This window comes from Homo sapiens, chromosome 9 (assembly GCF_000001405.40).
Source record: "Homo sapiens chromosome 9, GRCh38.p14 Primary Assembly".
Classification (NCBI taxonomy): domain Eukaryota; kingdom Metazoa; phylum Chordata; class Mammalia; order Primates; family Hominidae; genus Homo; species Homo sapiens.
The window spans coordinates 68,886,379-68,912,485 of NC_000009.12; the positions used below are offsets into that span (position 1 = coordinate 68,886,379).

The window sequence follows — 26,107 nt, forward strand, 5'->3', positions numbered from 1 at the left end:
TTTTTTGGTGACATTTACAGCCATACAATTATTGGTGGAGTTCAGCCATCTGACGGAAATTTCTTGAGTACCAACCATGTATGTAGGCACCTACCATGTTCCAAGGCACAGGTCCTGGAACTGTATCACAGTGTAAGATAGTCACAGTTTCTGCTGCACCGAGTTTTACAGTCTCTGCAACTCGAGGAAAAGGAAACAGGCAATTGCAGGATTTTGTGGTGACTTCTGTGATGAGAACATCCAGGGCCAGGAAGCAATTGATCTTTTATCCGCGGAACCAGGAAGAGTTTTCCAGAGCAAGTGCTGCCTCAGCAGGCACTGAAAGCTGAAGCTGTGGCAACAGTCTATGAATTATGCTCCCTACATCTTCCCCTTGTCCTTCTACGGTGGTTTCCTAACCCAACAGAGTGGTCCTCTGCTCCAGACCCTCCAATGGCTTTTCGGCCCCCTTAGAGAAAACAACAAAGTCCTTCCAGTGGCCTATAGCACTGGATGTGGTCTGTCCCCTTGACCTCTCTGGCTCCATCCCTTTCAGGGCTCCTCCTTGCCCTCTCTGCTACAGCCACTGGCCTCTGCTGTGCCTTGAGCCCACCACATCTCAGGCCTTTGCATTTTCTCTTCCCTCTGCCTGAAGTGCCCGTTCCCCAGATAGCCATGTGGCTTGCTGCCTGGTCTCAACCTCTGCTCCAATGTCACCTTTGCAAGGAGGCCTTCAGTGACCACCCTATTTAGAATTTACTGCAACTCATTCCTCACTCTTTGCTGGTATTCTCTGCTGCTTTTTCCATGATCCATTTTTTTCTCCACTGCACTTACCACTTTCTGATGTGTAATGTATTTACTTGTTTACTGTCTGTTTCCTCCTACTGGGATATAAACTTTATGAGTGCCTGGGACATAGCAGATGCTCAATAGTTATTTTTTAAATACAGCAATGAGTGGTAGGCAGGTGAAAGTAGAAGGGAGGTTGTCGCAGGCACAGGAAAACACAAAAGCCTGGCTGTTGAGAGTATGCAGCACTTTTAAGAACATGAGAAGTTAGTCTCTGTGGCTAGAGCTAAAGTTGAAGGAGGAAGTCATGAGAGAGAAGGCTGGGGAGGAGGCTGGGTCATTCATGGCCTTGGAAGCTCTGTTAAGAACCATTGATTTTTAGATCTCACAAATAAGTGAGAACATGCAATGTTTGTCTTTCTGCAAAAGATGTGAAAGCCCAGAAAAACATGAAGAGATTTGCATTTTAGAAAGATGCCTAGTTTCCTGGTGAATGTACTAGAGGGGATGAGAGTGGACAATTAAGACCAGAAGCTTGCCATAACAATCCAGGCATGAAATGATGAAACCTTTGAACTAAGGGTGTTGGCAGAGGCGGGCAGGCAGCATCAACAGTCTGGTTAGGAAAGATGAGGAAATGTGAGGAATCAAGGATGATGCCCTAGTTTCTGGTTTGGGGAATAAGGCAAATAATGCTTCCATTCTCTAAGGGAAAAGGCAGAGAACAGGGGGCAGATGATCTAGGGTCACCATATGCAGTTGTGCAGGCTGTGCACTGCTCAAGCTCTCCTACCTGGCCGAGGGGAAGGAGTGGAGACTGGAATCCAGCCTTTTTTTTTTTTTTTTTTGAGCAGAGTCTCGCTCTGTCGCCCAGGCTGGAGTGCAATGGTGTGATCTTGACTCACTGCAACCTCCACCTCCCAGGTTCAAGCAATTCTTCTGCCTCAGCCTCCCGAGTAGCCGGGACTACAGGCACGTGCCACCACGCCCGGCCAATTTTTTGTATTTTTTGTAGAGACAGGATTTCACCATGTTAGCCAGGATGGTCTCGATCTCCTGACCTCGTCATCCACCCGCCTCAGCCTCCCAAAGTGCTGGAATTACAGGCGTGAGCCACCACGCCTGGCCCCAGCCTTTCTTCTACTCACCAACTTTGTATCCTAGCCCAGAGCTGCATCTACCAAGATAAAAAGTTGCATCTTTCTAATTACCACAAAGGCACCATGTGGGCTAACCACAGCCTTGAGATGAACTTGATTGTGAACTTATTGCATATAAATTGTGTGTGGTATAACCAAAATAGAAATGTCTATTAAAGTGTTAGATGAACAGGTCTTGAGCCCTAGCGAAAGATCTGGGCTAGAGATACAGATGTTGAAGTCATCTCCTTGTTGAAACCATGAGTAGATGACATCTTCTGGGAAAATCATGAAAAGAGAATAGGGTTGGTGTTCAAGTGATAAAACACAGTGCAGTTCACATCTTCACTTGTTATTTTATGGACATTTGCTGGAAACAAAGCACCTTAGTCAACACAACTGTTTGAATTATCTCATTGGACTGATAGGATGATTCATGATTCTATCGCATGACTCTGGGGGTTAGGAGTGTATGTCTGTTTTTCATCATAGAATTATTAAGATAAACAGACCAATTAAATCTTTAGAAATCTCAAAAAGAGCCTTCTCGGTATACGTGGAGCCTCTTTTAAAGCCCGTAGAGAGGCTTCTTGTTTCAACATAGCTAAGATGTGCAATGCTATGATTGTCCTCCTTGGAGGCATCACGTACATCAAGTATATGTTTTAATGTTTATTCATTTACCCTTTTAGTATTCCATCTGCAGTGAACCTCTAATAGAACTGTCTAACCCTGGAGCCAGTGGATCCTTGTTTTTTGTGACCAGTGATGATGAATTTATCATCAAAACAGTTCAGCACAAAGAAGCTGAGTTTCTTCAGAAGCTACTGCCAGGCTATTACATGGTAAGGAACTGCACATCATTAATGCTTCTACTTGAAGTTTAATTACTTTCCTCAACAGTTTTTTTCTGTTGTTTTTTTCAGTGACTCAGGCATGTTTCTTTCTCTTTGGTAAGCTTTATTCTGCATTTAAATTATGCTATGACATTCATTGAATAGATTTTTTAAAGTAAACTAGAACTGAATGGCAGAGCATACTTGTTGAATCCCACAATCCTGAGTTCAAATCCCAGCTCAGCCAATAATTAACTGTGTGACCCTGAGTAAGCAGCATAACTGGTCAGCCTTAGTTCCCTCAGTCTTTAAAGGCTGAGAAATACGTGGCCAGGCGTGGTGGCTCACGCCTGTAATCCCAGCACTTTGGGAGGCCGAGGCAGGCAGATCACAAGGTCAGGAGATTAAGACCATCCTGGCTAACACAGTGAAACCCCGTCTCTACTAAAAATACAAAAAAATTAGCCAGGCGTGGTGGTGGGCGCCTGTAGTCCTAGCTACTCAGGAGGCTGAGGCAGGAGAATGGCATGAACCCGGGAGGCGGAGCTTGCAGTGAATCGAGATCCCGCCACTGCACTCCAGCCTGGGCGACAGAGCGAGACTCCTTCTCAAAAAAAAAAAAAAAAAAAAGCTGGGAAATACTTATCTTACATAGTTGTTGTGATAAAGTAAGGATACAGGATATAAAATAAAGGAAAGATAAAGGAAGCAATGTGTTTCAAAGCTCTTTGCAGCCAGTACGCAGTAATAGTATAAATGGTTAACTTTCATGGATTGCTTACTACATGTTAAGCAAGGCCTTAAGTGCTTTGCATTCATTAACTCATTTAATCCTCACAGCAACCTTGGATACTACAATTATCACCTTTTTATAGAAGAGGTAATTGAGGCAAAGATAAATTAAGTAACTTGCCATGGGTGATTCAGCTGGAGAGCTGCAGAGCTGGGGCTACGCAAGCAAAAGGGCTCCAGAGAATGCATTTTTAACCCCTACACTAATACACCGGAACATATTCTATATTAGCTGTTCTCAGCTACTAGACTTCAGAATTTAGAATTTCATGGGTAAATGTGATAGTGTGAAAAATCACCTTTCATGTAATATTTTAGAGACAAAGGAACAGTAACTTAGCCTAGACGGATTTACTACACGTTTACTCCAAAATTTTCAAAACTATCCCCACTGTTCCTAAATAGTCCAGGCATTTTCATACCTCCAGTTTCATTGTACTTTGATAACAGTTCTTAATTTTCTATGATTGGAAGGGCTACATGAAGCTGTCTGGATTTCAGAAGCCCAAGTTCTGCCAATCACTTGCTATGAGTGGTGATAAATATCATCTTTGTTTTTAAAAATGCATTCATCAGATGCCATGTTATCTTTTTATGTAAAAATATTATTTTAATTCCAAAATCTGCTAGACACAGCATTAAATACTTAAATTAATCTCATATAGAAGTATAAAAATAAAAAATCTCAATAAAAATCTTAGTGGCATGCAGGCAGATTTTAAAATATTTCAATACTGAGCAATTATTTTTTTTTGGAGGAACAGAAAATATAGAAAAGCCAAAAAAAAAAAAACTAACTATAGTTTCTTTCCCAGAGATACATATTACTAAAATATGGTGTATATGCTTTCAGTTATTCTTTGTTCATGCACACATTTTAAAATTATCTAAAATTAGGATCAAATTGATATAATATTATTTGATAACCTGCTTAATTAGTAAATCTTAAAATTCCATAGTTCTGAGCTCAGATATACTTGTCCTCTTGTAAAACTGCATTGGCCATATTTGACTACTTATATTTAATTAAAATTAGATAAAAAGTTAAGGGCCAGGAATGGTGGCTCACACCTGTAATCCCAGCACTTTGGGAGGCCAAGGTGGGTGGATCACTTGAGCCCAGGTGTTCAAGTCCAGCCTGGGCAACATGGTGAAACCCCATCTCTACAAAAAAATAAAAAATTATCCAGGCATGGTGGCACGCACCTGTGGTCCCAGCTACTTGGGAGGCTGAGAAGTGGGAGGATCACTTGAGCCTGGAAGGTTGAGGCTGCAGTGAACTATGATCAAGCCACTGTACTCCAGCCTGGGAGACAGAGCAAAACCCTGTATCAAAGAAAAATTAAATTTAGCTGAACAAGTGATTTTATCCCAATTATGTAAGCTAGTATAACAATATAATCCACCCCATTAACAAGAAAAAATGTGAACGTCACGTGGTTACCCAAATAGATGTTGAGGAGAAGCTAAGGCCCTCAAAATTCAACATCTTCACTTAATTAAAATTCTAAAAATTGGCAGGGGAGTTTTTTTTTTTTTAAAAAATGATAAATAAATCAATGATTATACAAGTTGTACATTTATCAGTCTTCCAAAAGTTCACATGATAGCTCATGGAAAAATACAAGAATCCTTTCTCTAGAAACAATAGGAATAGACCAGAGTGCCCCTCCCATCAATAGTCCTTTCTGATAAATTTGCTAGAAATTCTGGCACTGAGTCTTGAGTACAAAAAGAAATAGAAAAAAGTACAAGCACTGTTCTCTTTAAATGACAGAATTCAAAATGAGCAAACCTTCATTTTGCTCATGAAAGTAAATCAGGAATTTTTAGAAGTGATATGACTCCAGCAGATTTGCAGGATAAAAGGTAAATCTACAAAATCCATTATATTCCATTATATAGATGATATAGAGTGGGAGAATATAAGGGAAAAAAGAGATCCTGTTCATGATGACAACAACTTATAATGAACCCTATTAGAAAAATAAGTAAATAAAGTCATGTGAGTACTGTAATTCTGATTGGGAAAGCAAGATATAGTAAGTGGAAAACATAAACAATCAGTTCAGAAAGAATGTAATAAGAAAAATTCTAAAATACTTGAATCTATAAAAACAAATGTTACAAGACCAATATGAAGGAAACTACAAAACGTTATTGAAGGACATAAAGAAGATCTGAAATAATGAAGAAATCTGCATTGTTCCTGAACTCAGTATTGTAAAGATTTCAACTGCTCCCAAATCAACTTATAAATCCAGTCTAATTCCAAGCAAAAATTCTAATAGGATTTTTCACATAGCTTGACAAAGCCAATTTCTTTGAAAGTGAGAGCAAGTCTCATTTGAAGAATGTTTTTTAAAATGAACAATCACACAGAAAGATTGTAAGAATGGAGAAAACATTTTTGAAAAAGAAGAAAAATAGTAGGCCTGCTATAGCATATACAAAAAATATATAAGGCTGTAACTAATGTTAAGGATGTAGGATGAGTACAGTTTTAGACAGATAAATTAATGGATTCAAATAAAGTGTCCAGAAATAGATCTATGTGAATTTGTCTACTTACTGTATTGACATGGAGGGATTTAAACTCAATTGGAAAATGTCAGACTGTTCAATAAGTATCCATTTGAGGAAAAAATTAAATTCTCTATTTCAGATCTTTCACATACACACAAAATTAATTCCATATGGAGTAAAGACCAAATGTAATGACCAAAACTATTAAAAATTTGGAAGAAAATAAAAGTTTATGACTTTGGGATATAAAAAAGCTTTGTTAAACAAAAAGCAAAAAGCAAACACACACACACACAAATAAGAAACAAGTAAATAAACATGACCACATCAAAAGGCAACACATTTAGGCCAAGTGCAGTGGCTCATGCCTGTAATCCCAGCACTTTGGGAGGCCAAGGCAGGAGGATCACTTGAGGTCAGGAGTTCGAGACCAGCCTGGCCGACATATAGTGAAACCCTGTCTCTACTAAGAATACAAAAATTATCTGGGTGTGGCGGCACACACCTGTAGTCCCAGCTACTTGGGAAGCTGAGGAAGGGGAATCACTTGAACCTGGGAGGCGGAGGTTGCAGTGAGCCAAGATCATGCCACTGCACTCCAGTCTGGGTGACAGAGTAAGACTCCGTCTCTCAAAAAATTAAAAAAAAAAATTTAAGGCAACACATTTATATAACCAAAAATACCAGACACAAAATTAATATAAGCACCTTGAATATTTCTGGAATGAAATAAAGTGAGAGCAGTGGTTTTCTCAAATGTTGAGAATTGGGGGAAGAATCAAGGATAGCAGAGACACTTTTCATTGACTACATGCCGTTTTGTAAACTATTTTAATTTCTTATCTACTTTAAAAGGGAACAAAAGTAGGCATGTATTCCCTATTTTTTTTCTTTTTTTTTTTTTTTTTTGAGACAGAGTCTCGCTCTGTCACCCCGGCTGGAGTGCAGTGGCATGATCTCGGCTTAGTGCAACCTCTGCCTGCCGGGTTAAAGCAATTCTCCTGCCTCAGCCTCCCGAGTAGCTGGGATTACAGGCATGCGCCACCAGGCCAGGCTAATTTTTTAATTTTTAGTAGAGACAGGGTTTCACCATGCTAGCCAGGCTGGTCTCGAACTCCTGACCTCGTGATCCACCCGCCTTGGCCTCCCAAAGTGCTGGGATTACAGGCGTGAGCCACAGTGCCCAGCCTCCCTGTTTTTTTAAATAATAAAAAAGACAACAGACTAGAAGAAACTACCCCATATAGATGAGAGAAATGATAAATATCCAGAGTATATCAAGAATTTCAACAGTGACAAAAACCTGCAGAAAAAAATGAGCAAAATTATCTTTAAGGTGACTAAAAATACATAAGTAATCAATGGCATTCAAATTTTTAAAAACAGGTTTCTATTTTTCACTAATCATGCTTACAAAGATTTTAAAGTTTGGGTACTATTCAGCCCTGGTAAGAGTAATGGGAAAATCTATGTACAGTCTTACATAGTGTGGTTGTAAATTGGTCTGCCATTTTGGAAGACAGTTTTGCAGGAGCTATTAAAATTTTAAATGTTCATCCCTCATACCTTGGCAATTCGTTTTCTCTTTGGCTACCTTAGAGAATAGTCACTCATGGCACCAGTCAATTCCTTGCCTGTTTTTAGTTGGAGCCAATTTGGGACATTATGTCCAATCCAGTCACTTTCACTGCCCTGAGTTTAGAATAATAAAATTGCTGTCCAGTAAGCAGACTTAAGAAATAGATTAGAAACAGCAAAATTTTAGTAATGAACATTAATAAAGATAATCACATCCCATTTTTAATTATTATATCAGCATGAAAACACATCTTTAGTGGAGCATTATTTTGTCAAAATAGAAGATTGTAAATATATTTTTCTTTTTTTGGTTTCTAGAATTTAAACCAGAATCCAAGGACTCTTTTGCCAAAATTTTACGGACTGTATTGTATGCAATCAGGAGGCATTAATATCAGGATTGTGGTGATGAACAACGTTTTGCCACGCTCCATGAGAATGCACTTTACATATGACTTGAAAGGCTCAACGTATAAGCGAAGAGCATCCCGTAAAGAGAGAGAGAAATCCAACCCCACATTTAAGGACTTAGATTTCCTGCAAGACATGCACGAAGGGTTGTATTTTGATACGGAAACATACAACGCGCTTATGAAAACACTTCAGAGAGACTGCCGGGTAAGGAAGTTTGATTGTTGTGATTTCCTTTGAACTCTGTGCTCATGTAAACTGTGGCTGCCACTTATTGAAAGCATAGAAATAAGGAATGTCCAAAGTGGCAGACATGTGGAATCCTATCTTTCCCAATCCTGGCGCTGAGCCATGCTTCCCTGATATTGAAGGAATTGGTAGATGATAAGGGAGTTATCTAGAGTCCTTAACCTACATCTCTGTTGATTTTACTAATAAGCTAAGTCAGCTTTCTTTGATAAAATGAAACAAGAAAGCTTTGTTTTCTTTTCTTTCTCCGCTGTGGGGAAGATAGTTTAACTAGAAAGAAATAGAATTTAGGTTTAATGTGGTGTTGAGTAAGAAAAGCCGTATAGAAATCTTGGAAGAAGTAAGACTCGAACTGGGGAGACAAGTTTAAAGAAAATGTACTTGGGATTAATAATGGCTCCCTAGAGATCAGTGTGGATGCAAAACTATGATATGAGCAGCACGTTTGCTGAAATTATTTTATGTGGTCTGAATAAGAGGTGAGCAGGAATGAAGCTTGCCAATTAGGGCAGACACCATTCCATGCAAACTTAGCTGGAGTGATTGTCCAAAGTGGGGAGGAATTCCCCCAGGCTGCAATGCTTTAAAAAAAAAAAAAAAAAAAAAACTAAGGGAAGATTTTTTCTAACATGGTGAAAAGAGATAAAAATTTTTTTAGAGAAAAGAAAAATGCAGTGCTAATAACTTCTGAAGGATAATAATCATGGGAGAACCGTCCAGCCACTTGGCTAAGTTGGGTAGTGGAGGTGGGCAGAAAGCATGATGGCACAGGCTGTGGTTTTCTGCACTTTCCATGGGCCTGGACGGATGACCCATGTTGTTATAGGGGAGGGGAGACACTTCTCTGCCAGACCCAAACTCACGTGAAGGTGAGGAAGACAGTCTGACACCCCTTCTAAGGTATAAAGTAGGGAATTTCCACTAAGGAACACAGGTCTACTGTTTCTGTTTTTTTTTTTTTTATTTCTTCCTTTCTGCCTGTTATAGCTTGCATGATTGTGCACAAAAATGTGTCCTTAGAATTGTTTTTCTTTATTGACAGAGATGTTACTCCTATTGTTTAGCTACCGTTTATTGAATGCTTACAGTATGCCAGGTTAGTCTAAGGTTTTTTTAATGCATCATTTCACTTAATTCTCTCAGCAATTCTTTGGAGTCAGTACTATTCATACTTCCATTTTAATTGCTGAAGAATTGGGTTCTTAAAGAGATTCAGAAACTTATCCAGCATTACTTACCAAGTCAATGACAGAGCCCACATCTGTTTGGGTACAAAGGCATGTGCTTCTAACAACTAAAACTTAAAGTCTCACTCTGAGGATTTTTTTTTAATTATCTTTTCAGAAGTCAGGGAAGGAGCAGTAGGAACCAAGCAAACAGACGAACAAAAAACGTCCAGCAGATATTCAGATATCTGAGTGGATTTGAGTGATGCATGTTTTTCTATTCAAAAAACGTAAAAACAGAACACACATATTTTAGTAGAAATCTTTTTCCTGTGTTTTTTCTGCCCTTTACAGGATGTGGGTAAAAAGTGACTCTCAATTCCCCAGAGTTTAGTGTCAGCCTCTCCAGTTTTAAGTTTGCTTTCTCTTTTGTGTGCTTCTTGCCTCTTTAGTATGGAAAGCCTTTATCTGCTGCCTTCTAATACCACATGCTTCTCTGCCAGAAAAAAAAAAAAAAGCAAATGTAAAAGAGCCATTGCTCAGGATTTGTCTATTTATTAGTGTTTCCTGAGCTCAGGACTGAGACCGCGAGGTCAAACCAAACTTTTCATCACAAGTGAGACCCTGGAGATTTGCCTTTTTATTTTTTATTCTTTGGCAGGTTTGTTGTTCTAAGGAACATAAAGGTCAAGGTAGAGGTATCCTGAGGCTAACTCCCTCTTACTCACTGCATTTGCAGTTGTACAAGACACAGATCCTGGACATTCTTCAAAATATGTACATCTGCCTTCAGAAAGGCTTCTCTTGGGCTGGTATGGGAGTGTGTAAATGCTGAGCTGTAGGGGAACTCAGCTCCCTTCCCTGATCTGTCCTGACCATGACCAAGTCCTCTGGGATCTGGATTCAACAGCTGGTGCTCTGAGCAGAGCTGCCTCAAGGAAAGCCTATTTCTGGAATGGTGAATATTAATATTTAATAGTCAAGGGCCTCTTAGTAAATCGTATGAATGCTGTGAACTCTCCTCCCCCCAAAAAATGCCCATCCTCGTGATGGATCGTGAATCTCTTGGAGCCCGTTGTTCCTTCCCTTCCTTCTTCCCCAAGGCTCAGAATCCCCTTCCTAGAGTTACCTCTCTCTCTCTTCAGGTCATCCTCTGAAAGGCCAACTCACTGGATGATTGCAATAGGATATGTGGTTGACATCGCCCCAATATTGCCCTTGCTTTGCAGAGCTGAGCCTCAGTGCTGGCTGAGGGGCTGCAGAGACCCAGAGGGTCTGCAAGGTTAGTCTGAGCTGAGGCCAGCACCTATCAATCAGGAATCTCCTCTGCTAAAATTCCTGTGAGACAGTATGGCTAAGGCTCTAGAAACAAACCAGTTAGAGAAATGTATTACTGTATCAGCACCCCAGGCAGAGAAAGGTGAACTAAACCTATATTAGGATATATGCTTCTATTCACTTATCAGCACATATTGCAAGCACACTACATGCCAAGCATGAGGTGCACGACCTTTATTTTTTATCAATTGCCATACAGTCTAGTATGTGCAATGATATTATATTGTGAAGATTAGAGTAGGGAACATTGTAGCTTGCTTTTAAAGGATGAGAAGCTTTCTCCGGATAGGCAAAGCAGTAGAAGCATATTTCTAGGATAAGAGAACAATAGGTATGAAACAATGGGTGTGAAATAGCACAATGTGTTCCGGGAGCTATAGTTGTTTGGTTTTGGGGCAGTTAATAGGGAGAGCATGTGGGGTAGAAGAGGAAAGTGGCCACATAATATGAGAGCCACATATTGTCAGAAGACCCTTTCTGGTGGTGCCAGGGAGCTCTTAAGGACTTAGCAGTAGCAAATCCAAGAATCCCAGACCTTTGGACCCCAGCTTCTTTGTTGTTCCCAGACGGATTTGTTAAGCCTCTTAACCTATGGCTGACCTCCCCCTGCTTCTTGGCGCCCCCACCTCTCCTTTCATATTTTGGCTTGACATCTCAGACCCTGGAATTCTATTTCCTTTAGCATGAGTGCTGGCCGGAAGGGCCAGCTTGACCTAGCTTATTCCCTGCTCCCCATGGACTGCTTCCCTGACTGCCAATCAGAGCTGCCGTTTCTGAGCTCTGCGTCTGAAAAGACCTGAACAGCCTCATCCTGCACTGAGTCCTCCTGACACATACCATCTTCTCCTGGCATCCTTGTGGCAGCCCCTGAGTCCCTTTGCCTGGCTTCCCCAAGCCCAGTCCCAGACCCCTGTGTATAATAAGCCTGCCCTTTGGGATGGTTCATTCCTGACCAACTCCTCCATGTAGCACATTGGCCACTTGGAACTATTCTAGAAAACTGATCTTCTTTTATGCCTCAACCCTGCTGAGCCCAATTCCCCCACAGGATCAGAGGGCTCTTTCCAAAAGCAGGCATCCAGATGTCAGGTTCTGCACCCCATCTCCACATTGCTATTCCCCATTGGCTGTGTGTGGTGGGGGAGAAATGGATATGTAAATGATGAGTCCCCTTTCTTGAAGGCTTTCCTATCCCTTGGTCTGACCCTCTATATGCTCACTGCCACAGCCATCCATACCCACAAGTTAATTTGAGCCAAGGAAAGAGTGGTGACATTGAGTACTACAAAGACATCACAGATCACTTGCTATCAAAACCAGAAAGCAGGATTTATTCAAACCATCCCCAATGGCTCCCACGTGACAGACAAGCTGAGATGCGTGTCCTATTTGAAAACTGCTCATCCCAGGTACCCCTTCATCTTCCGCCAGGCCTGCACCTCTTCTAGTCTTCTGTGACCCAGGGAACATGACCATCGTGCAGCCAGATACCCAGATCTGCACCCTGAAGCTACTCCTTCCTCCCTCCTCTCCCTCTTTCCCTGCATGCAGTAAAATCACCATGTCCCAGTCTGCCTACCAAATAACTCATGGCTCTGCCCCCTCCTCACTGTAGGCACAGCCACTGCTTTTATTGAGACCGTGGTTATTCATCACCTGGAGTTTTGCTGTAGCCTCTTTGCTGGTTTTCATTATCATTGCCTTCCATCACATCCCCACCACTGCTGCCAGACTGATCCTCTGATCAGAAGACTTAACACTCTCTGGCCAAGGTTCCCCACTGCTTTTGGGCGAAAGCCAGTGATTCCCAGCTTGGAACATTAATATCCTTCCTGATCTGGTCCCTGCTACATTCTCCAGATGCGTTCTTCAGCTTCTGTCTCCAGCCTTCTCTCTCCCCTCTCCTCTGATACAGATCCCCACTCTCCAGCTCTTCTAATCTACTGGCCACATTCTCTAAAGGTTTTGGTTTTTTTATGCATGCCTCACTCTGCTGGACCGTTCTTCCCCTCTTCTACACCTGGCCCTCACCTGCTCGTCTCAGGACTACTCAGGGATCAGTTCCTCCAAGACCGTGCTGTTGTGGTTCCCCATGCATCCTGGGCTTACTTCTTTCATGGGACTTAATACACTGTTACTTTTTCACATGTAAATCCTGGAGCCTGAGGAGCAAGGCTTAATCTATCTTTATATCTACATGCCTGGTTCTTAGTAGGTACTTAGTAAGTGTTTATTGGAATATGTATTTGAACAGAGGAATAATCAGCTGTCTAATGATTTAAAAAAAGAGAAAGAAAGGTTTAGGTAAGAAACCTGTCTTTGGTGATTTTTGTGTATCTAGCTATTTTTTAAGTTCTGCCTATTTTGGAGGAAGTATCCAGTTTCACTGCAATGCCTGCCAAAAATTGCACTGAGAATTTAATAAAGTAGATTATCTCCATTTTGAATCACTTGGGATTATTTGAAAAGTTGTACTGGTTGTCCTCCTATCAAGAGTCATTTGTGTAACAAAAGTACATTTATATTGCAGTGAGTTTTCCCATGGAAGCAATGTTGTAAATGGTCATTAGACTTTTTTTCTTTCCAACTTTTATTTTAAGTTCAGGGGTACATGAGCAGATTTGTTACATGGGTAAATTGTCATGAGGGTTTGCTGTACAGATTATTTCATCACTCAGGTAATAAGCATAGTACCTAATAGGTAAATTTTCCATCTTTCTACCCTCCTCCTCCCGCCCTCCACCCTCAAGTAGGCCCTTGTGTCTGTCATTTTCTACTTTATGTTCACATGTGCTCAATGTGCAACTCCCATTTAGAAGTAAGAACATGCAATATTTGGTTTTCTGTTACTAGGTTAATTCACTTAGAATAATGGTCTTCACCTCCATCCATGTTGCTGCAAAGGACATGATTTCATTCTTTTTATGGCTACATAGTATTCTGTGTTGCGTATGTACCATATTTTCATTATCCAGTCCACTGTTGATGGGCATCTAGGTTGATTCTATGTCTTTGCTATTGTGAATATGGACTTTATTTTATTAGCACTGACCCCTGTCTTCTTTAGGTGTATGTACTGTCTCTCCAGCGAGACTTTAAATGTCTCAAAGGGCAAAGCTCATTCTTTACACCTCTCTGCAGCTGCAGCACCTGGCTTATTCTATACACTCAGTACATGTTGCAAGATTGTGATTGAAAACTCTTTTGAATTGAAAATGTATATATTAATTTTAAAAGAACAATTAGGATCTATTTTTGTATTCATTGTAATTTACCATGATTATTTTTTCTCTGATATAAGTTATCTATGTAAAATCTAGAATCCCATATCATTTAATTAATTTGATAAATTTTTATATGCTGAAATATTTATTAATAACTCTGGGAAATGACTTTGAGACAAAGTATATTAGTGAGAACTTGTGTTTACAACCCAAATATTTTTAATCCTTCAAGTGAGAGTCATTTCAGAGACAGTCTTGATAATTAATGACCTAATGACTTATTTTACATTTATTATAATTTTTGTTGAGCCGCATGTTATTAATTTTTAAAGAGTGTGGAACCAATTTTCTTTTTTCACACAAATGACTGTAACCATAAATATTAATAGGTTCTCAGAATTTAATGAAACCAGTCTCAAGAATACTGAAACTTTCTGATGTGCAAAGAAGGGTCTTTCTATGTAAGGCAAGTTCTGAATTTATGAATCAGATTCTTAACAGCTATGGGCATGTTTGCATGGGTTACAAAATGGGTTATTTTATATAATATTTAACATTATGGCTATTGCTTACCATTCAGCTATAATTTTGCTGGTAGTAAACTTTTTACATTTTGTTCAGACAGTTTATTTTCTTTTTTTGATATTGCTTGCCTTCTCAGTTATCACTGGGGAAGAAAAAATGCTTTAGACCTAATACAAAGGAGACGTACATATCCTGAAGGTAGAAATACTTCAATTTAAATTATCCTCTCATCAATAAGGAATTCGATTTTGTTTTTAGACTTCAATCAAAACATGAAAAGGGTGCAGGGACATCATTGACTCCACACTCCTAAATTACTTGTTTTGTTTTTGTTTTTGTTTTTTGAAATGAAGTCTCACTCTGCTGCCCAGGCTATAGTGTAGTGCATAATCTCGGCTCACTGCAACCTCTGCCTCCCAGGCTCAAGGGATTCTCCTGCCTCAGCCTTCCAAGTAGCTGGGACTACCGGTGTGGACCACCACACCCCGCTAGTTTTTATATTTTTAGTAGAGATAAGGTTTCACCATGTTGGCCAGGCTGGTCTCGAACTCCTGATCTCAAATGATCCTCCTGCCTCAGCCTCCTAAAGTGCTGGGATTACAGGTGTGAAGCACCATGCCCAGCCAAATCCACTGTCTTTCAAAGTGTGTTTTACAAACACTGTAAACCCATGAGATATTTGATTTGCTCCATTGTCTTAAAATTATGAGTTTTGGCTATCTGTAATAGTTTGATATCATAGCAGTATAAGCATAAAGCAAAGTTAAAGTTGGTGAACAAATAAAACCAACTCATAGAATCAAAGATTGTTCGAGTTGGAAGGAATCCTAAGAGTTCCTAAGAAACAGTAAAAGAATGCCTTCTACTCTCTGGTCTTAGAAAAAATGATTTTGGACTTACCTAGCCAAGCCAGGTTTTATTGTGAGAACAGAAATAATGATGTCATATCATATATGCAAGGGCTTTGTAAATTTTTCTACCTGTAAATTTTTTTACTTTGTATTTTGAGATAATAGATTCACATGCCGTTGGAAGCAATAACACAGAGAGATATCATACACCCTTCACTCAGTTTCCCCCAGTGGTAATATCTTGCACAATCTTGCACAACCTTAGTACAGTATCACAATGAGGAAATTGACTTTGGTACAACCTACTGACGTTTTTCAGCTTTTTTCAGATTTCACCAGTTTTACATGCACATGTGTGGTGGGGGAGGTTCTGTGCAATTTCAGACGTACATAGATTTATATAACCACCACCTTGGTCAAGTACAGAACAGTTCTTTCTCAAAGATGCCTAATGGTACCCTTTTATAGCCACAGCTACCTCCTTCCCTCACAACTCTTCCTAATCCTGTGCAATTACCAATCTGTTTTCCATCTCTGTAATTTTATCTTTTCGAGAATGCTGTATAAATGGAATCATACAGTATATAACCCCTGAGATTGGCTTTTTTTTACTCAGCATAATGCCATTGATATTCATCCAATTATTGCCTGTATCAGTAATGTGCTCCTTTTTATTGCTGAGTGATATTTCTTGGTATGGATGTATCACAGTTTATAACATTCACCCGCTGATGAACATGTGGGTTTTTTCTAGTTTTTGAGTGTTACAAATAAAGCTGCTGTGAACATTTGTATACTGGCTTTTGCGTGAGCACAGGTTTTCATTTCTCTGAGATAAATGCCTGAATTCAATTTCTATGTCATATGGTAAGTGCGTGTTGAATTTTTTAAGAAACTGCCATACTCTTTTCCAGAGTGGTTGCACCATTTTACATTTCCACCAGCAGTGGATGAATGATCCATTTTTCTCCTTTTCCTCACTAGCATCTGCTGTTGTCACTATTTTTTATTTTAGCCACTCTGGTAAGTGTGTATTTAAGTCTCTTGCTAAAAAATTACTTGAGTATATGCCCCAGAAAAGCTAAAGATAAATCTAATAAAGCAGTTTGGGGATATAGAAAAGAGTGGTGAAAAGAAAGCGGAAAAACTCAGTGGTTAAGTTTAGTGCCTGGTGATATGCCTGTGAGACTATGCAACTGACAAGATTCCTAAGAAAAGGCCTGCGATACAGGAGTTTAACGTGTGTGTTTCTAATAATAAGCACTCCTGTGAGACTTCATCTAAATCTATTCTACAGCCATTGGTGTTGCTTCATTATATTGTAATTACTTGATTACATGTTTAACGTTTGCTACTAAAAATCTGCTCTGTGGGAACTGTGGAACCTCATTTTCCCAGTCTTAGCTCACTCGAGAGTTCTTACACAGCATTTCTCTTGGTGTCAATCTTCTGATGAAGCCTAGGAAATAGCAACAGCAAACATTCTTGGAATAGTGAATCTTACCTAGTCAATGCACATAATAAAAGCAGGTTTTAGTAATAACCTACACATGGTTTGTCTGGAAAGAACCAAGGTAAATCATGTCAACATTGTGAATTTGTGGATTAATTGTTTGGAGTACATTTGTATTGCTCATTTGTCCAAGGTCTGTTAAAGGCCAGTGAATTACTAAATTGCAACTGTGTTGACCTCTTCATCCTCTCAGTTTTTATTTAGGTGGCAACTGGTGTCGCCATTGAAGACCATCCATACACCACAACTGTTCAGTAGTCTTGGGAGGGGGCTGGTGTTTGTCTAGGCTTTTGCCGCTTGCTGCAGCTTAGTTCTGCTGAAAGTAGGGAATGGAAATGAGCTGCTGGCAGCAACAGAAGGAACACAATAATCCATGCAAGATAGTGTCAGGGTAGCTACAAAAATCAAAATAACTCTATGCTGTTGTTCATGCCTGACTTTCTACTAAGTAAGACAATTCCCAAATTTTACAGAATATGCTCTTCTGGGTTTTGGTGGAGAGAGGGTTCCATCTTGGATATAACCTATAGATACCAAAGTAACTTAACATGTAAAACAAATCATATGTAATATGTAATCATCAAATACGTATATACAATACAATACATAATACTTTATTGCATGGACAATAAGGATGCATTTCCAAGGCTTACTTTATCTGTGGGTTGGTTCAGGTAACATTTATTTAAACTTTGAGCCAGACAATCTATTACATATAGGTTCTCTCATTCATCTTCACAACAGCCATGTGAAGTGAGTGGTATGATTACCTTTTGACAGATAAAGAAGTGAATCCTCAGGAGAGGTTCAGCTTCCGCAGGTCCACAGAGCTCACAGTGCTGCATCCAGAATTTATACCCAGGTCTCTCTGACTCCAAACCCATGTTCTTTCATCATTACACTCTCCTTAAGGAGCTTGTGTGTAATGGTGGTAAGGCCACTGAAATGAAAACATTAAGTAATAACATGGACAGATATAGGCAGCATGGGCTAGAAGTGCTCAATGACTGGTCACCTAACTCTGACAAGGAGATACAGGGGCAGATGCTGTAGGAGTCAGGAAAGGGCTCAATCCTAGTGGAGAGCTTGGTTTGGACAGGACAATGAGTTCATGAAATCTTGCAGCCTATTTCAAGGAAGGAACACAGTGCCAAGTGACTAAGGAACACAAAGTAAAATAAATAATCCAAACATTTAATTTTAAAAATTTAATGAAAAGCATAATCAAGCCCATTGACATTTGCCAACTGTTACCAATGTGCATGCACACGAAATCCTATTAAGTTAAAAGCGAGGCTTCCTTCTGAGCAATGCAGCGGTTACAGGGGGGTTGATTGTTTTTGAAATCTTGCAGGGGAGGAGATTAGGGACTCAATGTGTGACGTTGAATCCTGTGTGAGCAGCTTTTGAGAATTCTGATTCACTACAGAAACGGAAGGATTATCAAGTCAGTAGTTTGCTTTTTTTTTTTTAAACTCTCACTGCAAACCAAAGTATTATCAAAATTTCTATAGAAAGAATGAAAATGGGAGACTGAAGGTAATTTCCTCGGCTCTAAGAAATAAACTCCTTTTCCTTTCTTCCTAAAAGAGATATTACCTAAAGATTGGAGAGTTGAAGCATTTCCTGAGTTTGTTGTTATGTGTCTAGCAAGTTTTCATTTTAAGTAACTTGTCCCACAGAAATTTATATATGCAATAATTCAAGTTAAGGAGAGCTAAAATCTTTGGGCTTATGAAATAGAACAATGTTATATCTACTACTTAGAGTTTCTGGCTTTTTTGTAAAAAGAACCTACTGGTCTCTGATTAGATGACCCTAAGTGTAGGAGTAAGGTCAATATAGGCCCCAAGCGGAAAGACCCACAAAGTATTTGGGGGAGGGAGCAAAGGGAAGGAAATGCCCCCAAGGACCCCTCTTCTCCTCCCTGTTGAGAATCCTGGGAGTGCAGAGAGGAAAGCTATGGCAGGAAGGGGAAGTGGCCACACGGGGCCTGATGGTAGCAACTCTGGCTTTGAAGATGTATCTGGAAAGGCTTTGAGGTTGGCTGCTGTGGATCTGGTTGTGGATTCTGACGTAAGCCAGTCATACAGATCATGATGCAAAACAGGGCAGAGTTGCCAACAGCCAATCCAAAAGAGATGTTAGGGGCAGCAAACCCTGGTGATTTACAAAATGGAATTGAGGCTCCATACCTTGGGAGGAACTTCTGGAAGCTAGTGAGGGACTGAGTTACAGAGATTTAAGGCATATTTGAGAGTTTCCAAGGTCTAGGAAAATATTACAAAGTTTAAAAAATGGTTCAGAAATGTGCCTTGTGATACATTACCCAGTGCATTGTGTACCTGTCAGACATGACCTTGTCTTCCTCCCAGAAGCTTTCAACTTAGGCTTAAAGAATAAAGAGTAAAATCAGTTTGATTTTATAGGGCTTAATTTTATTCATTCAACATCCAGGGCACATTTATGGAGTACCGATGGTGCTGTAGGACCAGGGCCTGCACGATTACCTTGTGAAAAGTAAAGTACTTTGGACATCCAGTGGTTCTGAACCTTTCAGAAAAGATCACCCCATACTGGCTTCTGAGAGGTTTGGGGCCACGTATATGGCTCTTCATCCCTGTCAGTATCAGTCCACACTCTTTACATGCCCTTCTACCCTGCAACTGAGTGTCCCTTTGATATCACCAGTGTTCTTCCTTCAAAGACATTTTTCAATTTAGTGTTTTTTTAAATTTTGAGACAGAGTCTCATTCTGTTGCCCAGGCTGGAGCTTGGTGGCATGCTCATGGCTCACTTGCAACCTTCTCTCCTGGGCTCAAGCGATCCTCCCAACTTAGCCTCACAAGTAGCTGGGACTACAAGCACATGCCACCACACTTGGCTAATTTTTGTATTTTTTGTAGAGAAAGGATTTCACCATGTTGCCTAATTTGGTCTGGAACTCCTGGGCTCAAGCAATCCACCTGCCTTGGCCTGCCAAAGTGCTGGGATTACAGGTGTGAGCCGCTGTACTCGGCCAAATTTAGTGTTTTGATCGAGCAAGGATAACTCTTCTCTCCTCATTTTTGTCCCTTCAAATACTGCATTTCTAAGTGACAAGGTAGAAAATGTCCGTGGGGGGAATGTCTCCCTCCATGAGAATGAAATGGCCAAGGACAATCTGTTATTCATGAATTGATATATAACATTCAACTTTTCATAAAAAGGATACATCTGCGAACTTTCTACATGTATACATCAGAAATGTGTTTTAAAAGGGATATGTACTTCACTGGACAGATCAATTGTCCATAGCTACTCAGGCTACAGAGAAGTTAAAACTGAACGTTTATTTAAAATATCTTCATCCAGCCTTAATGCGAGCCTGGCTGGAATGATTCTACATCTCGTTAACTTCCTCTCTTCATTTCTCCACACAAAGACCTCATTTGTAAACTTTGCCCATATTCAGCCAGCTCCAGATGTTCCAAGGACAAACCATTATCACGACCAACTCAGTGTTTGCTGCATTTTCATAAGCACTTGGTGATCTCTCTTCAAATGATGACGGGAGTTCTTTAGACACAGAGATTCTCCATCCTCTGATATTCCTCATTCTGAATTGGCTATCCAACTTTTTTTTCTAGTTTGTTAGCAATTTCAGAAAAAGGTCTACAATCAAATTTTCAAAGACCAGAAAAAGCAGTGATTCCAGATTGCAGATTTACTCTCTGTCCACTCAGATGTGCGGGGAAAATGTAGTTACTTAATTATCTATGAATCCTTTTCCCTACTAGCATCCACTTCCTCAAACTGAAACTTATCAGTTAGTAATATTGCAGTCTCTTCTGGTTTAGACAGTCACCCCTCCAGTTAAATATTCTGTTTATTCAAAGTTGAACTCTCTCAGGGTAGGTGTGAACTGTCCCTGTTTTATCCTCCATTTTTTAGGTGAGCACCATTGGAAACATAGGGTCCTTGTCCCATGTGGACACACAGAGCTGAGAACATTGCCACAGGCCTCTCCATACTCACGCATTCCAGCTCTGCCTTAACTGTCACCTTCATGCTAAGTGTGGCTTTCAACTGTGTCATGTTGAGCCACTCTTGTACCTTCTTTAGTTTTGATCATGTGCATATATTAAAATAAATATTTAAAAAAATATTAAAATAAATATTAAAAAGTAAATAAGACTCCAAATGATTTTTTTTTCTAATGATAATTCTCAGAACCTGGATTTTCCATCACTTCTTTTAAAACTCACTCTGTAGGTACTTGCTGTTCTTAGATATTGTTTCTCAATACCGATGGTGACTTTCCCGGGCCTCAGATTTTTCCTGCTCTATGAAAGCTTCAACAATCCTAGAGCATGGATCAGCCAGTTTTCTTTAGCCTTAAACAACCACAGGAATCTCAGTTGATAAATTCTGCCTTACCTTCCTGCCGAATTAATTACATGTTGTTCAGCAAACAGTTCCGAATTTTCTCTCTGTAGAAGGCTCTGTGCTAAGACCTGTGGGAGGTACAAAAAATGAATAGGATGTAGTCCTTTTTCTAAGAAGCTTAGAGTTTAAACACTAAGTCTAAACCATCAAGGTCTTATTTATCACGGACAGATTCTTCCATTCTTCTTCTCTTTCTTTGTCCATAGAGTAATATGAAAGGTGAAGGGTAAGTACTTTTTTCTTTTTACCAAGAAAGGCAGTTTACCAGAGTTGGTGGGCTGTAGCAGACAGTGGTGAGGGTTCCAGAATTTTACCTCACACATGGACGTGGATGTGGGTGCTTGGACCAAGTGTGGCCTCTGAGTCTCACAAGACAGCTGGCCTATGCCTGGGCTCTCTGCTGACGTACCAGTTAAGCCACAATGAAGTAAATCATTCATAGTAAAGCCAACAAGAAGATATATCATATAATGAGAAGGATGTGACATTTTAACATAAAATATTACTTTTAAACCTGTTTACAAAATAATTTATGAAGACATCTTTATTTGAAGAAATGAAGTGTTTATAAAGAAAACAAACCAAATTCATCCAGCATAGGAAGCTGGTGAATATATATATATATATACATACACACACACATACACACACATTATATATATACATGTATATGAAATCTTTTTAAATGATGGATGGCTATTTTTAAGTGTGGAAAAAAAAAAAGCCTTGGTACAGGTTAATCCAGTACAGCCCAAGTTCTAAATCACGGCATACACACCATGAAAAACACATTATTGCCAAAACAAGGATTTAATATTTATTTCATTCTGCTTTGCCAGCCAAAATTGTATGGCTTGTCACAGCCTGTATTTTCTCATTATGACATTAGCAAAGAACACTGAGCTTTACTGAAGAAATTTAATTAAATTGAAAAGAAAGTGTTTGGCTCTAACTAAACTGGCACAATACAAGGAATTCTAGAACTGTATTCTGAGGGGTCTACTTTGTGAGGAATGGCAGGCCCTTGGATTCATTTTTCCCTAAACCAGTATTTTCAGAAATGTCTATTTGCATAAAATCTCCAGGACACTATTTTGAATTTTCTGACATTATTGAATTAACAAAAATGTATTTGCCAATCATTAACTCCTTGTTCAGGAACTAGATTCTAGGCCAACTGGAAACATTACTCAGGACCCTTGATACATCTTCCTGTCAGCTCCACATTTTGTTAATTTGGTTATTTTGCAGATCTTCCATCAAAGATTGATCAAGTGAGATGGAACATAGCAAGTTTTCTGCTTTAACCACTTTAGTTAAGATCCCAAATTATTAATTTCTGTTTTTTTCTCTGCCATCTCTAGCTCATCATTGGCAAAGGGTAAGTTAATGCTAAACAGGTATAGACGTGCATTTTATCTAAGCATTTCAAAATAGCACGCTAAACTTTAATTTTGAAAAGTTTATACAATAAAAATATGTAAAAGTAGACCAAATATTGTAATGAATCCACATATACTCTGTGCTCTATTTTTAACTCATGGCCAATCTAGGTTTTTTTGTTTGTTTGTTTGTTTGTTTAACTGCCTCTCTTCCCATATAATTTGAAACACATCCAAGACATCACATCATTTTACTCATATGTACTTTAGTAGGAATCCCTAAAAGCTAAGGACTCTTTAAAAAAAAAAAAAACTACAATACCATTATAATGGATTAAAAATATTAATAATTCTTACTAATCATCAAATGTCAGTGTTCAAATTTCTAATTGTTTCAGAAACAACTTTTTGTGGTTTGGATCAGGATTTAAATAGAATCTACTTGCTAAGTTCCTTGTCACTCTGATTTTTTCATTTTGAAAGTATTTGTTGAAGATATTGGTTTGTTTATCCCAGAGCATCTGGATTTTGCTGATTACACCACATTGTTTCATTTAACACACTCCTCTCTTGTGCGTTTTTTCTGTAAATGGATTGTAGGATCCTACAGGTTGAGTCAGTCAGATTTAGGTCTGACTTCATATTTGATGTCTCCCCTCATCAGGAGGCACATCATGTCAGAATGCCTTTCTTTCTGCAATGTTAGTACCTGTTGATGACCACTGATTAGACTCATTCATTCATCAGGAGTGGTAAAATGGGGATGTTCTAATTTTATTATATGTCTGCTAGACTGCACAAAGGAATTTTAAACAAAAGAGTACCTGTCACATAGTAGGTGCGCAATAAAATACGTATTGAATGGGTTAATTTCCATAAGAACCCCTATGACAAGGGAGCAGAGGACAGGAAAACTAAGAAGGCCTTGAGATGTGTTCCATCTTAGGGCCAGCACCAAGCGTTCTTGGATGATTAAAGAGCCTTCACAGTTGACCAAGCCTGTGACATGCTGTTCTTGCAAAGGCTTCCTAAAGAAAAATGTGATAGTCTTACTAGACTCAAAGCTCAGCCTAATTTATAGCAAAACAACTTTGCCTTTTATCTGCCATTTAGCTGTATGCCTACTAAACAGTAAATCAAAAGAATCTCTATAAATATCAGCTTGATTTTTGCCCTTGACACAGTGTATATAAAATACCTATGGTGTGGGTAGGTTTGAAAGCACTGTAGGCTTTTATCTTTATTTTTCTGACAACACAGAGCACATAATCACAGTAAATGTTTTTAGTGCCAAAAATTTGTTCATGGGCATTGTAATCATGATGCACAGGTATCAAGTTCTTATATTTAAGATACAGGGTGTAGTGTTTTACATTCTTTATTGCTGAATATTTTGGTTTTCACTTACTTATACATGTGGAAAGCAGTATAACAAATATTCATTCCTACTGTGTTCAGAGCACACAGCAAAATGCACTAAGTCAAACCAGTCTTTGTTGAGAAATGAAGTCTTGTGTGTATGATACAAAGAATATAGGTGTAACCTGAGGTAGAATTTTATATGACAGAGGGACACTAATAATGTGCTTGGGTCTTCAGAGGGGAGACATATCCCAATAGTTTGTTGAAATCATTAGTAAATTTGCATGGAGTGGGGACAGGCTTTGAAAAAACAGTAGGATTTGAAAAGATGGTAAGGACCATCTAGAAGAAACGACATGAGCAGAAGCATCAGAGTTTACATCTTCAGAGCACATTCAGGGGTAAAGAGCTCCAGTTAGACTAGCCTGGCAAATGTCTCTAGCCAGGCATTAAGTAACAAAAAGACATTGGCTAGGGCCATATTAGTGAGGACTTTCTATGTCAAATTGAAGCACTGGCACCAAGCAGTGGTGAGAGACTGAAGGCTTTGAGTAGGGATGTGATGTGACCTGGTCAAGCACAGATGTCAGGAATGGGTTTGTGAGGAAAGAATGGGAAACTGGGCCAGGCATGGTGGCTCACGCCTGTAATCCCAGCACTTTGGGAGGCTGAGGTAGGTGGATCACTTGAGGTCAGGAGTTCGAGACCAGCCTGACCAACATGGAGAAACCTTGTCTCTATTAAAAATACAAAATTAACTGGTCATGGCGGCACACGCCTGTAATCCCAGCTACTTGGGAGGCTGAGGCAGGAACATTGCTTGAACCCGGGAAGCGGAGGTTGCAGTGAGCCGAGAACATGCCATTGCACTCCAGCCTGGGCAACAAGAGCAAAACTCCATCTCAAATAAAAAAAAAAAAAAAAAGAATGGGAAACTGAAATTAATTCATTATCATTAGAGAGAAGGAACGTTTTGATAATAGAAGCTGCAGGATTGGGTGACTCAGTGAAGGAAAAGTAGCCATGAAGTATGAAATCGCATTAGAATGATTTCAAATAAAAGAGGGAAGTGAGGAAAAAGAACTGCTTTGGAGTGAGGTAAGAATTTAGGGTTATAGCATGGCCATGTGTAGACATTTAGATGGTCATGGTGGCTCATGCCTGTAATCCCAGCACTTTAGGAGGCCGAGGTGGTTGGATCGCTTGAGCCCAGGAGTTCAAGACCAGCCTGGGCAGCAAGGCAAAACCCCATCTCCACAAAAAATTAGTCAGGTGTGGTGGCATGTGCCTGTAGTTCCAGCCACTCGGGAGGCTGAGATGAGAGGATCACTTGAGCCCAAAAGGTCAAGGCTGCAGTGAGTCATGTTTGCACCACTGCCTCCAGCCTGGGTGATGGAGTGAGACTCTGTTTCAAAAAAATATTTTTTTAATTTAAAAAAGAAGTTTAGAGATGTTCTGAAGGAAATATATTGGGCTGCAGCTTAGGAATGAAGTCAGATTAAATGCAACAATTTAGGAATTTTCTGTAGAAAGATGGTAATTGGAATCTACCTTTAAGAAGATCTCAAATCTATCCACTTCTCCCTCGAGCTCCCCAGCTGCCCCTACTCATTCAAGTATTACCCTCTCTTACCTGGACTGCTGAAATACCCCCCAGTCGAAAGTAGGTACTTCCTGTGGGATCTTCCCACAGCTCTCTGATTTTTCCCTCCAGGCCTTATTACAATGTGTAATTCGGGCTTGTTTAATGTTGAGTATGGAATAATTATCTGTTGTTTTATCCCTGAAGATCCATCAACTTCCACAGTGCGTGGCACTCAAACATTTTTTTTTCCAACAAAAGAGTCAATGAATGTAAGTACTAGAAAGTAGAAAAAACAGAGAGCTTTGGGTGAACATCTTTAGGGCACAGGAAGAAAAAGTGGAAAAGTCAAATAGACAAAGAACCAAGAGAAGCCAGGGCACAATAGCTAAGGGAGAGGGGAGATTCAAGGTGGGCTGGTCATAGGGATCGAT

At 39.6% G+C, this 26,107-nt stretch overlaps 1 protein-coding gene across 14 annotated transcripts in view, besides 1 other annotated feature; it reads left to right on the forward strand.

The window, feature by feature from the left end:
* PIP5K1B (phosphatidylinositol-4-phosphate 5-kinase type 1 beta) overlaps nt 1-26,107 on the forward strand; it is a 303,937-nt gene that overhangs the window by 181,139 nt on the left and 96,691 nt on the right. For all 14 annotated transcript variants that reach the window (XM_017015189.2, XM_047423951.1, NM_003558.4 and 11 more), the window contains 2 exons: nt 2,603-2,755; nt 7,961-8,260. In XM_017015189.2, coding sequence (XP_016870678.1) covers nt 2,603-2,755; nt 7,961-8,260 — 453 coding nt within the window. The remainder of the gene's footprint in view (nt 1-2,602; nt 2,756-7,960; nt 8,261-26,107) is intronic.
* Nucleotides 9,771-9,920: an enhancer, noted in NCBI's record as "active region_28442". NCBI's record gives its function as "activates an Ori minimal core promoter by ATAC-STARR-seq in GM12878 lymphoblastoid cells {active_cell/tissue: GM12878}" and the evidence as "EXISTENCE:reporter gene assay evidence [ECO:0000049][PMID:35858748]".